The sequence below is a fragment of the Homo sapiens genome, chromosome 3 (genome assembly GCF_000001405.40).
Source record: "Homo sapiens chromosome 3, GRCh38.p14 Primary Assembly".
NCBI classification, from domain to species: Eukaryota; Metazoa; Chordata; class Mammalia; order Primates; family Hominidae; genus Homo; species Homo sapiens.
In genome coordinates, this window is record NC_000003.12 from 118,751,345 (window position 1) to 118,765,820 (window position 14,476).

At 38.1% G+C, this 14,476-nt stretch overlaps 1 long non-coding RNA gene across 1 annotated transcript in view; it reads right to left on the bottom strand.

The window, feature by feature from the left end:
- LOC105374060 (uncharacterized) overlaps positions 1-14,476 on the bottom strand; it is a 302,423-nt gene that overhangs the window by 242,934 nt on the left and 45,013 nt on the right. The window lies entirely within an intron of this gene.

Genomic DNA, 14,476 nt, shown 5'->3' on the forward strand with positions numbered 1-14,476 from the left:
TTGAAGTCCTGAAAGTAAACAGTGGTCAACCTTTAATTCTTTACAAATCTAGACCATTACACGAGTCAGACTGAAATAAAGACCGCTTCAAGGAAAGTCAGTCGCAGAGTTTTCACTAACAGCCACTTGCTCAAAAAGTCATAAAAAATGGACTTTAGAAAGAATTTTTAACCCAAAAAAAGGGCTAAAACACATGAAAGAATGATAATCAAATAAAATTGTTTAAAGTGTGGTGAATCTAGATAGTAATTAACTATAAAATCAACAGTAATGATGGTAATTGATAACTATAAATCCAGGCAAATCTTAAATATTCAACAATAAAAATGTACAAAAGAGAAAAAACACATTCTAAGCTTCTTCTGTTGTTCAGGAGAACACAAGAAGACTTTAGAAGAACACAATCAAGACCTTGTTAAGCCAAACATGCAAGTTAAAATGTTAAGGCTGATCTTTAAAAGATGAAAGCAGAAGGCATGAATTTCAAATGGTAAATGAACAAAAATGAATAAAAATAATAATCAACATAAGGCAGTAAAAATAGAAAAAAGCATAGAGAAAGCAGAATAAAAAATAAGATGGAAGAAATAAAACCAATTACCTTATTAATCACAATAAATGTATCTGAGTTATGCTACATTGTTTGTGTGCTTTAAAAAGTTTTAATATAGAAAATTATAGAAGGAATAGAACTGAAAAGACAGATGAACACATTACACTAAAAAAAATCCATTGCACATTGTTTATATCAATAGATAATTCATAAAAAGGCAAGGCAAAAGATATATAAAGATATGAGTAAGTGCTCAGCCTTGTTGGTATTCAGGGAATTGAAAGTTAAAACAATAATGGTATCCCATTTAACAACTATCAGATGGGTAAAACCTTAAAATTCTTACTATTATCAACTGTTGTGGACCAATAACAACTTCTTACATAATTGGTAGAAGTACAAACTGGTACAATCACTTTAAAAAGTTTGGCAAAATCTAATAAAGTTAAAAATATTCGTACCTTCAACTTAGCAACATTACTTCTAGGTGTATGTCTCAGAGAAACTGTTGAACAAGTATACATACCCGTATATTCAGAAATACTTATGATAGCCCAAATTTGTAATGATTTAAAAAGTAAAACTATAAGCAGCAAGTGTACAGCACCAGCAGCATGCAATGACATATTAAGGTTTGATGGAATACTATGCAACTGGTAACATGAATGAATTACAATTACATGCATAAAGACAAATTTCAGAAACGTTGAGCCAAAGTCAAGTTTCAGCAGAATATGTACAATATGATATTATTTATACAAAGCTTAAAACTTGTAAAACAACATTATGTGTTTTTATAGAATCCTGAAGGGATACTACAAAAGAGATAAATGCAAAGTTCAGGAAGGAAGAGGAAATGTGGTCAGGGAGGAGGACACAGTAGACTAAAACTGAATATGTTATGTCTTATTTCCTTTAAAAAAATATGTGAAACAAACATACAAAATGTTAAAATTAAACAAAGTAGCTGGAGTGCCCATGAATTTTATTGTATCAGTGTACTTTTCTTTATGGTTGAAATATCTCATTATTTTTAAAAATACACACAACAACTCACATATAGTCTGCTTATGAATGAGCTAGGTCCCAAGAACCCCTCCTAAGAAAAAGAAAATGAGGAGAAGGAGAAAGGAGAAGGAAGAAGAGGAGAAGGAGACAAGGGAGGAGCAAAACAAGTTTAACTGTGTGTCCAAGACCATATGGCTAATAGGTTACTGAGCTGACACAGCAATCCAAGCAGTTTGGCTCTAAAACCCCTTCTTTTTTTTTTTTTTCTTTTGAGACAGAGTCTCGCTCTGTCACCCAGGCTGGAATGCAGTGGCACGATCTCCGCTCACTGCAAGCTCCATTTCCCAGGTTGAAGCAATTCTCCTGCCTCAGCCTCCCAAGTAGCTGGGACTACAGGCGCCCTCCACCACGCCCAGCTAATTTTTTTGTATTTTTAGTAGAGACGGGGTTTCACCGTGTTAGCCAGGATGGTCTCGATCTCCTGACCTCATGATCCGCCCGTCTCGGCCTCCCAAAGTGCTGGGATTACAGGCATGAGCCACCACGCCCAGCTAAAACCCCTTCTTTGGGCCAGGTGGGGTGGTTCATGCCTGTAATCCCAGCACTTTGGGAGGCCGAAGTGGGTGGATCATTTGAGGTCAGGAGTTCGAAACCAGCCTGGGCAACCTGGCAAAATCCCATCTCTACTAAAAATACAAAAGTTAGCCAGGTGTGGTGGCACATGCCTGTAATCGTACCTACTCAGGAGGCTGAGGCACAAGAATCATTTGAACCTGAGAGGCGGAGGTTGCAGTGAGCTGAGATTGCGCCACTGCTCCCCAGCCTGGGCAACAGAGAGAGACCTTGTCTCCAAAAAAACAACAAACAAACAAAAACAAAAAAAGCATTCCTTTCCTACTCTGCCAAGCTGTTGAGGCCAAGCTGTTGAGGCCAATCTGAATGAGTGGAGTTTGTTAGTTTGAACAGTCTTTAGATTGGAAGTACTGACCCTAGTCCTGGCCCCTCATCTCTTTGTGAGTGCACCTTGATTCATGTCAAACCTTCTTTCTTTCCACCAAGTTTCACTCATTTTTCACACTTCCTAATCCCAGAAATCAGAAGCAGGCATCATGGCACTGCAAAAGAATCAGAATGAATAATACTATGAATTTTAATGAATAAAGGCAGATGGTACCGTTCTCAGAGTACCACCTTCTTAATAGTTTGCATCTGAAAATTTGCACTGTTTTCACTGTGGAAATAATCTAATAACACCTTCAACTTATGACTCAATAAATTAATAAGTATTTGCCAAGTGCTTTCTCAGAGCCTATGATTGTGCTCAGAGTTACATGATCTGGGAATAGGAAGAAATTATTAATCAGTGATGCTGACGAGACTGAATGGGAAAACATTGCACATGATGAAAACTTAGGAAGGGAAAACAAAGTCCTAAGGCTTTAAATGTGTAAACAAAAGAAGAGTTTGAACTTGAAAAAAATGCCAACTGTATACAAACTAAGATATACTCATCTCAGGAAAATTTATTCCAAAACACAAACATTCATTGGAAATGAAAAATAGGCTGAAAGGGATTGGGGAGTGATAGATAAGAATGAACGTCGGTGATAAATATGAATAAGAAATGAAATCTCAACATGATATTCTAACAAAAAGGGCCATTGCTTTTTTGTCGCTGTTTTGATTACATAAGAAAAGGGACTGTGTCCAGGAAAAAGCAAATGATCATTTATCTTTTAAAAACTGATTAAACTGTACCAGAATGCACACTGAATTGGTGACAACTTGGGAACTATTAATAAATAAAAGAAAGAAAATTGTTCTGCATTGGACGATCCAACTGGCTAATGGGAAGGCATCTCGGAGTCAACTAACATTTATTCAGTGCCCAGCATGGGCTCAGCTCTGTGCTGGGTCAAAGGTACAAAGAGCCTCCAATCTACTTTGGTTTCACTCTTGACTGGAATCAAAGAAAAGAGTATGCATTAACTTTACTAGTTTTATCTCTTGACAGGAGTAAAAAGCTTCCCAAGAAGCACAAGTCACATACATGTTTTCCTAATTTGCTTTTAATCTCAAGAGTTTACAAGTTGGCTAACTCTAATGCACAAGTCACATCTGTAATAGCAGCCTTCATCTCCACTGCCGTTGTCAAGAGGGCTCGGAAATATAAAGTGAGTGATTAAGAAGAAAGCCCCTTTACTGTTAGAATCAACAGTATGGTATGTTTGGAAGGCTGCCTAACAGCTCTTCCCTCAGTCTCTCTGCTGTTGTTAGAATTTGCTCTTTCAAATCAAACTGCTCCTCCACCAGGCCCTGCCTCTTCTCCCTGAATGCAATAGGGAAAGGTAAAAGGTTTCAATATGCCTCTAACCAACAGCACAGTGCCATTTATGGTGGAAATTTTCCTCTCAGCCTCTAACAAAGTACAACATGGGATATTAGCCATTACTATTCTCAAGCTAAGACAATAAAGGAAGCTACCCGCCAGAGCCTAATGAAGTCTCTGTGTGAACTAGGAGATAGTGGTACATCAGGGAATGAAAATACAAAACAAAACCTTGCACAGATACAAGATAGAGAGGTGGCTCTGTGTAGGCAAAACTGGAAAAGGCAGTCTAGAGATAAGCATGGATCTCAGTTTAACCAGAAAATAGCCACGTGGCACTTGAGTTTAAACAGCTTTAAAAGACTAGTTCAGTTCCAAGTTTAACAATCAACAAGAGTTCTCATGGCCAATGCTTACATACCAGGCCCTGTGCTAAGTGCCTTGCAGACATTAACTCACTTCATTATTCAACTACAACCCAATTATCATCATCCTCATTTTACAGATAGGGAAATACAGCAGAGAGAGATTAACAAACTAGTGGAGGGTCACGGGGCTAGTAATCCTGCAGAAGTAAGATTTGAAGCCAGTCTGATTAAAGAAGTTATCCATAGTTACATCACACTGCCTGGGACACTTGGGAGTACAGCATGGGGGCCAAAAATAAAAGCCACAAAGATGAAGGAAAGATGTCTTTAAGGCTGGGCTTGGTGGCTCACCTGTAATCCCAGCACTTTGGGAGGCCGAGGCAGGTGGATCACCTGAGGTCAGGAGTTTGAGACCAGCCTGGCCAACATGGTGAAACCCCGTCTCTACTAAAAATACAAAATTAGCCAGGCATGGTGGCACGCACCTGTAATCCCAGCAACTCAGGAGGCTGAGGCAGGAGAATCACTTAAACCTGGGAGGCGGAGGTTGCAGTCAGCCAAGATAGCACCACTGCACTCCAGCCTAGGTAAAAAGAAACCATCTCTTTCTTTTTTTTTTTCTTTGTTTCTACAGATGGAGTTTCGCTCTTGTTGCCCAGGCTGGAGTGCAGTGGCACGATCTCGGCTCACCACAACCTCTGCCTCCTGGGTTCAAGCAATTCTCCTGCCTCAGCCTCCCATGAAACTCCATCTCAGGAAAAAAAAAAAAAAAGATGTCTTTAAAATGAGAGTTATGAGGTTAACTTAAACAAGTTGGTTTATTTATGCTGAAAAAATAAAATGGAGTATCTCCCTGGAGGAGAAAGAGAAGAAAGGAGGGTATATTTTTATTCATTTGAAACCCTTGCATTCCAGAAATTTGCTTGAAATGGGCACATGGATTTTAATACAATTGCTTAGGCAGTTTAAATGAGTTATTCCAATTAAAGTATTAACAATTCAAGATAGGCTTGCACTTGTTTGCATATGTTTCATAATTGTAAAAAAAATCATAAAATCCATTATCCTATACTGCTTTATGTTTCATAGGCAACAATAGCATGTTTGGCAGCGGGATGGAGAGGGGATGTATGTTGCATAAATTAATGTATAATGCCAAGTAAAAAGAGTAGAAACACTTCTTGATTTTACATGATTTTTTTTGTCTTTTTTTTTTTTTAATGTCTACCCACTTCCCCAGCCTGTATCAGGATCTCAGCAGACAACTAAGTCTGCTCATCAATGCTCATCATGTATCAGACACTATGTGAGGTGCTGGGGACACGTGGTTCCTCCCCAAAAGAGGCCACGACCTCATAGTACAGGGATGATAAGTATAGAAATAAGCAAAATATAAGGTAGAAATAATAAACTCAAAAAAGAGGAGGAAATTGGCCATGGAAATTCAAAGGACAGAAAGATTATATCTGATGGAAGATGTTCTGAAGAGATTTCTAATAGTAAACTGAGATTGGATTGGAGCTTAGGTAGAATTTTGACAGGGAAAAGGTATTCCAGGAAAGAGAATCATCATGAATGAAGGCACGATAGTGGGGAAAGATAGTGTATATTTGAGAAACATCAAGAGGCATAATTATGGTAGAAGTGACCAATACAGTGGAAAAAGCAAGCTGAAGCCATATTGTAGAAGATCTCAAAGTTTTAAGTTCTGACAAAGATAGCTATCAAGGTTCCCATGCAGAGGAGTGGCAAGGTCAGAGATAATATACTGTAGAAAAATCACTATGCTAGTAGTAGAATGGAGGGTGAATTGAGTAAAAAAAGAGACCTGCAGTAGACAGTTGAGAAGTTTTCATACCAAAGCCATATCCTCAGCCCTAGCCAACTACCATTTCAAAGGCCTGCCTTTGCCCACAGAAGAGATAAGGCAAGAGAACATAAAGGAATTCATGGGCTTACCCTTACAGGAGAAAGCCAAGTTCGTATGAAGTAGTGGGTGAAGACGGCTGCTATATAGTGAGCCTGTGAAGGAGAATCTGTCATCTGTCCTTAAATTAATAGCTTCCTCTTCACCCTGTGCTTATACTTTCAAGCTCAGATCATCTCTTCAGATTCTGTTTCTGACCCTCATCTCAGTTTTGCTGTCTCTGAGTTTGCCCCTCACTTAGTTTTTATCTCTGTCTAGTCCCTGCAAATCGATACTACGGCTGACCAAACTCCTAGACTCTTCATTCCAATGTTGCCCTGGGATGGTGCCTTCACTGTACACTCTGAAACAAAGGGCCATTCCAGCCCCCACCCTTATCCAGGCCAGGCTCTAAAACCCCTTAGGACTGGAGCCCCAGAACCCCACTTATCAGAAAAGATTGATAGACGCTGTTACTTTGGAGGAGAAGCACTTTGCAAGTCTCTGAACCTCCCAGGCTTTATGGAAAAAACTGAAATCATCTTAGTGATAGTAGCCAGAATCATTAACTCATAAAATTTTAGAACAGAAAGGATCTTTGAAGATCATCTGATCTTCTTTGTCTTATCCAGAAATATATATATATTTTAATAAAATATACATTTATATATTATAATCTATTACACATATATTCATATACGTTAAATAGGTTATTCAAAGTCATACAAAGTGGCAACCAGACTAGCATCTCTTGACTCTCAATCCAACAAATGTTTGTCAGTAGTTAGAATGTATAAAATGTTATCAATCTAAATTACAGATGCAATCAAGACCACAGTGACTACATAATTTTTATCCACATCCTAAAGCACTTTATTATATCACCCTGCATTGCTCATTAATAGTTTCATTCAATCATCTTGGCTTTCCAAATGGATTGAATTGTTGGAGGTCAGGGACTAGATTGTCTTCTTGCATCTCCAGCTGCCCAGCACATTTCTTTATTTTTCTTTTTCATCTTTTTACTTTGTGTTGGTAATTTTGATATATTAATATTATACTCTTAATGAAGTAAATGAGAACGAATATTATCATCTACCACCAGCACCAGCAATTAAGGAAACCTGCCGTTTCTCATCTGTAGATGAGAAAACCAGCTGTTGAATCATTTCCAAGCAACAATAACTAATGCTTCGTTGAATTGAGCAAGGTGTCTCTTCTGCCTCTTTCCACCTTTCCCCACTCTTTTTTTTTTTTTAATAGATGGAGTTTCACTCTTGTTGCCCAAGCGGGAATGCAATGGCGCGATCTCGGCTCACCGCAACCTCCGCCGCCTCCCGGGTTCAAGCGATTCTCCTGCCTCAGCCTCCCGAGTAGCTGGGATTACAGGTGCATGCCACCACGCCTGGCTAATTTTGCATTTTTAGTAGAGATGGGGTTTCTCCATGTTGGTCAGGCTGGTCTCGAATTCCCAACCTCATGTGATCCACCTTCCTTGGCCTCCCAGAGTGCTGGGTTTACAGGCGTGAGCCGCCATGCCCAGCCCCCATTCTTTATCTGTAACAAAACTGCAAGTATAGAGGGAGTTCTCAATCTAGAATCTGGTACTTTGGACAAAGTAGAAGTCACTTCCCCTTTAACACTCACAGAATTAATGGCCTCAGTGTGGTTTCCCCAAAGGTAGGGAGAACTAATGCCAAAATTGTTGAATTTTGGAAAATCTATCACATGAAAAGATTGACAAGTAGTGGTCTGAACATTTTCCTCCACTTCTAAACCAATATATGCTCGGAAATCCAGTAGCAAAAAAAAAAGAGTAATTTTTACAGAAATGTTAAAAGAGATTATTAATAAATATTAGCACTAATCATATTTACTATTACTATTGTATTCCATTTTCCTACAAATTGCTCTGAATGGCTTCATGGTTAAATATAAAAAACAAATAAACGAACAAAAACATCCCAGCACCTGCAGCATTTGAAAGTAGAATTTGCTAGGGCATAAAACCAGTGAGTTATTTGTCATGCAGCTTAATTCTGTCATAAAATGCTAATCAGCCTTTCTGTCACTTTGCTCTTGCCCCATATCTTTTTATGAGAACATTAACATGGTTATTACAGAGTAGAGACTCTTATGGCTACAAATATACTTACCATTTATGTATATTTTTGTTCACAAAAAAAGATGCCACCAAGAGTCCCAGACTCCTAGTTAACCATAATCCTAGTTTCTAGCATGAGGAGCTTGAGTCTGCCATGCCATCTGGATGGTGGCATCAGGTGGCCAGGGTCAGCTTCCTTTTGCTCAGGTCTTTGTGCTAGAGTCAAACTATGAGCCTTTCTTCCCATCTTAGTACAGAGCAACTGAGACTTCCTTTATGGAGTGGTTAAACAAAAAAAAAAAAAAAAAAAGGCTATATTTTAGGTGGCTCTAACAGTTTCTGCAATAGAAATATGGACCCTGGAAGCTCGTTTCCTAAGGGGCTTTTCAGAAATTGAACCAGTATGCATACCAAAAATCCTCCTCTGACAAACACACAATCAACATTCCAAGGCAACTCACTGATGAGTGGCTGTAGGACTGCATAATTCTTTCCAATACTGGGCCTTTACTAGGGCTGTCAGGCATTTTATATCTCAGTATCTTGCCCTGTAGAGGCCAGGAATACGTCCCGCAAAGATATGTTTTATCACATATGGGCTTTGAACTCAGGGAGTTCTGAATCTGAATCTTGGCTCCATCACTTACCGTGTCTGTGGCTCTTGTCAAATTATTTGTCTTTTCTGAGCCTCTGGATTTTTTGTTATTGTTTGTGAAGTTGTTGCAAAGATTAGAAATAATGCATAAAAACACTTGCTACAAGGTAATTGTAACTATTATTAATATCTTTATAGCTACTATTATTGTTGACTTTTGATCAGAACCAAGTTTGGTGTTCAATTGCATTAACTATTCTAGTAAAATTCCCTCTGTTCTTCACCTAAATTTCTGAGTTCTCTGTCTACATTTTAACTCTACTATTTTGCATGTTTCAATTTGGGCTGCCTCAAGTTTTCCTTGAAAGTAAAGTACACATTATAAGTAAATATTTTCATTGTCTTGTCCAAAAAAGTAAAGCAAAGAGCGTCTCCGATGTTCCCGATGGTTTAATCTCTGCTTTTCTATCCTAACCAAGTGTCAAGGAAATCAGTCTTCAGAGCCCTGCTCCTTCTCCCCAGTTAGTCACCAGTCTAGAAATCTGTATCTAAAACCTACTTTGCATAACACTCAGACATTTGAATCAGTTATTCTCATGTTTATTTATTAAACGTAATAGCTCTAAATTTGGATGAAAATGGGCAGAATGAAGCATGATTCATCAGTCATTCTCATGTTTAGTGACCTGCAAGCAAACTCTTCAGATGATTAAAAACATTTTCACTTTCCATCTGTATATCTTTGGGATTATACAGGCCCATCCCAAAGTATAATAATAAGGATAATGATGATAATGATGCTGATAAGCCAATTAACATATCAGGAATTTCCAGAGTTGCCAAGCTGATTGGATCAAAGGTCCACAGCAAACAGGCCTGCGTCTTTTGTAACATTTCTCCTTTGCTGCCACCTGGCCCCTCATGGAGGCAGTGTAAGAGCATCCTAGTGGGGAAAGCTTGCAATGGAGCTGGAGACACTCTGAGCTTCTCCTTGCAGGTGCCAGTCTCTCCTGCCAATGGCTGTGAGATGTCCAGGCAATCAGAAGTCAATTGTCATCAAGAAGAAAATTCCTGTCAAGAGCCACTTAACTTGTGTCACTCAGGAGGAAAAATCAATACCAACAATCTCAGGACATTACTGATTGGAGGAGTCTCCCCATCCCCTCTTCACTCACACTAAGTAGCTATGTGGCTGCACTTACACAGGTAGTAAAAGAAAAAGGAAAGTGCAGTTCCAACACTGAGCAAACAACAGCCTCACCCCAAAGCCTAGTTCATCACTCACTCCCTGACATTGTATCCAGTCAGGAAGAACAAGGAAGGAAAATTTCAGCATGTAAGTTTTGAATGAATTTTATAATTTCTTATGTATGTAAATTCTTTTCTATTCTCTATTTACTATCTCACTCTCCAAATGCAAACTGAGTTCTCCTTTCTTTTTTCTGCTTTTTTTAAATTCATGAACGCTCATTAATGGCTCACAAAATGTGATGCCTTACAGACTGGAGCTGGCATTCTGTCCTGGTTCTGACCTGTGCTCAGTAGAGACTGATTAGCATCAGTAATAATAATAGGACAGGGTTGCAGGCTGCTTAGTACAGGCAGATGAACAAGTATCCAAGTAAGCAGACCTTATGGGGGGGGCGGTGGGGAAGAGCTGTTATGTATTACTGCATATTCTGGCCTTGTAAAGAACTACTTCCTTTGTAGATCAACGTCAGCAAAATTTGCCTCCTCCAAGAATTACCCAACATTTTTATGGATATTAGAGAAAAGGTGCTGTGGAAGGTTGGGGTTTTTTTTTTTTTTTTTTTTGGTCATGGTTATTTTGTTTTTATAAACCTTTTGGTAGCATATCTACTCTCTGTAAACTACCTTTGAGAAAACCCCAAATACATAATATATTTAATACCTTCCTTTAGATATGGCAAAAACACAATCTGGAATGGATGGCTGTTCTGATCAATCCCGGTAGCTCTGAACTTGGATGAAAATGGACTGACTAAAGTAGGATTCAATAAAAAAAAATTATATATATATATATATTTCCTGGTTTGAAAAAGAAGTGCTTAAGAGTTTGGCTTAGTTCTTATTGAACTGTCAATCACCACAACAAAACCAAATAAAAAATGTTTTGGTACAGATGTTCAAGGAGAAAATGAATTGCTGAAATTTTGATAACTAGTATTGGCAAAGTTGCCAAAAAAATCTGAAGTCACTGCATACTCCAGCTGATGACATGACACTACCCTAGGTGGAAGACAGTAGAGGGCAGGGCAACCAAGTATTAGTAACTACAGAAGTTATGGAGAACAGGACACCAACAATCAAAAGATATTGCATCCAAAATATTATCTCTGTAAGAGACTTCAGAAGAAATTATCAAATCCAAACTCATTGTCTTGCAGAAGAGAAAACAGGGATTCCGAGAGGCTTTGGCCTGAGAATACCCAAATTCATAGCAGAAATGTAATTATTAATATAACTCAGGTAGCATGATCCCTAATCCAGGGCCTTCTCACTATGTCACCCTCACCATGGAGTGTTAGAGGTGAGGAACAGGCAGGAGGAGAGTGTAGACAATGGTTCCTGAAGCCCCCAGGGACTAAGATCCACAGTTCAATTCCTGTGCTGCATGAACAACCAATCTCTTCATTCACAAGAGGAAATAGTGTCACCTATTTGAAAGGAAGACAATGTAAAGGCTGCAAGTCAAAACAAGAAACCATAGTAATGAACATCGCAAAAAAACAGACCCTAGAAACTGAACCTGCAGCATCACTCTTTGCAGAACCTGCTTTTGTATTTCCTTAAGGAAATATTTGCAAATGGTATTTTCTTTACTGCGTATCTTTATCAGGTTAGTTGATTGTTATTTTTAATGTTTTTATTTATAATACAGTTCTTGAATTTATTAGTTCCATTGTTTTTCTGTTTATGACTTTCTTAATTTCTTTTTCTTCCTTTTTTTTTTTTTTTTCTGAGATAGGGTCTCACTCTGTCACCCACGCTGGAGTGCAGTGGCACAATCACAGCCCACGGCAGCTCCTGGGCTCATGCAATTCTTCCACTTAGGACTTTCTTAATTTCTGAACTTATTTTGTTAGTTCTTTTCTTCTGTTTTACTTAGTAGTTTTTAGTATTTTCAGTTTTTCTACTTTCATAGAGAGCATTACTATAAATATTTAAGACTGCTTTCTTTTAATTTGATGAGTTTAGCTTTAATTACATTCCTCATATTCTGATACACAATTTATTATGTTAATTTTCTGGATATTCTCCACTTTCAGTTTTGAGTTCATTTTTAACCTAAAAAGGGTTTAAGAAAGAGATTTTAGTTTACTAATGTCAGAAATCTTTGTTTTCTGGTTTGTTAATTAATCTTTAATGTTATTGTGTTAGATTCTGAGATGGCTTTCTATAGTTTTAAAATTTTTTGGAATGTTTCTTTAGGGCCTAATATAATTCTACTTTTGTAAATGTTTCACAGTACTTGTTAAGAAGATTGTTTCTCTATTTTCAGGGTATGGTGCACTGTAGATTGATGTAGCTATATCAGTTAGAGCTACGTTGTTAATTATGTTTTCTAGCTCTTCTGCATTTTTACTTACTCATTTGTCCACTTAATTTGTTGATGCACTGAGGGGAAAGCTATTTAAAGTCTACTTGTACTAATATGTTTCAGTCTACTTCGCATTGATAGTTTTTGCTCTATTTCTTTTGATGCTATGTTATTTGATTGAATGAGTATTAAATCTTTATTAAGAATAGTATCTTCATGATTTTAACATGTCCTGCAATACCAACCAGGGGAGTTCAGGGTTGTTTGCATATAAATAAGAGAAGGAGGACAATAGTTGGGAAATTGAGTGACATTAGAGAACTGAGCTTTACTTGTGCTGCCTCCTAATTTATAAAGCTTTCCCCACACTACATAACCAAAGTCTCTTTCCCTTCCACCAAAACTTCCAAACATTTGGGTAGCATCCCTTTCAAGGCTATTAAAACCCCCTGCCTTATGATAATTTAAGAGCAAGTTTAAAAACTTGCTGTAAAGCTGGACACTCCTTTATCGTTATGGTCCTTGCAGCACTTAGCACATTTCATTGCTTTGAATCTAGCAGATGCTTAATAAATAGCCGATGAACTGAATTGATTCATCAAAATGAGTTCATCAAAATGAACCAATAATGCTTTCTGTGACTTTCTAAAATATGCTTCCTGTATGGGGGTTCTCCAGAAGCAGAACCAAAAGAATGTAGATACGAATTATAGATATATGTTACATTGATTGATAGAGAGAGAGAAATTTACTATAAGGAATTGACTCACGCAATTATGGAGGCTAGGAAGTCCCCAGCTCTGCAGCTGGCAAGCTGAAGACCCAGGAGAACCAATGGTACACTTCCAACCTGAGCCCGAAAGCCTGAGAACCAGGGGAGCTTATGGTAGACATCCCAGGCCAAGTCAGAATCTAAAGGCAAGACAAAACCCATGTCCCAACTCAAAGATGGGCAGAGAGAGCAAATTCTTCCTCATTCAGACTTTTGTTATATTCTGGCCTTCAACGATTGGGTGAGGCCTACCTACATGGGGTGGGGGAAATGTGCTTTACTCAGTCTAGTGACTCAAATGTTAATCTCATCCAGAAACACCCTCACAGGCACATCCAGAGTAATGTTTAACCAAACATCTCAGCACTCCACAGCCTGGTCAGATTGACACACAAAATTAATGTCACACTCCCTAATGAAATAGATGAAGACCTAGGTTGATATTTTGTCTATAATGACACCAGACACTGGGTCTACTTCCCAAATGATCCCCTTTACATTATGCTTTATTTTCAAACACAGGAAAGAAGGGAAACAACCATATGGGCCAAGGATAATTTTTGACCTGGAATGTAAAGGTTTGAAGAACTTATCTATGTGGCATGTATATCACTATGGTAGAGAGAGAGAGAGAGAGAGAGAGAGAGAGAGGAAACATAATTCACAAAGTGACAGAAAATTGGTATTTACATGGGGAGTGGGAAAAAGCTCAAAAGCAAATTTTTGCCTCAGTCAGCAGCAGAAATCTCTCACAAATCTCCCAGACAAATAGTCCAAGAGATGAGCCATCTCTCAGAAAGAATGCACTTGCACTGAAAGATTAGAAATGTTCAGTATGAAAGGGCTTTAGAGAAATGGAGAAATAGTTTTTCATGCAGCTCTCCACAGAAAGAGCTCTTTTGTTTTTTGCCTTAAAACTATAAAAAGAAATTTAAGTTTAAAAATTAAAAAACACTATCTTCAAGATAGCTCCTTTATTATAAAGATAATCTTTTTATTTCTAGGAAGAGTTGCATAAAAAGTAGCCATAACTTCTAATGTACTGTGTTACAGAAAGTGGTATACAATCAGCTGGTAACAACAGCATAACAACAGAAGGAATATGAGCTGCACCGGGCTTGAGCTCTGAGTATACAAGGGACTGGCCTTTGAGTAGTAACATAAGGAGCAAGAGATTTCTCCAGGGAGCACAACCAATTTTGCTACCAATAACTACCCAATTTGGCATGGACCAACACTTTTTAGCTCTGGCCAAGGAAGAAGAACTGGAAGGTAAAAA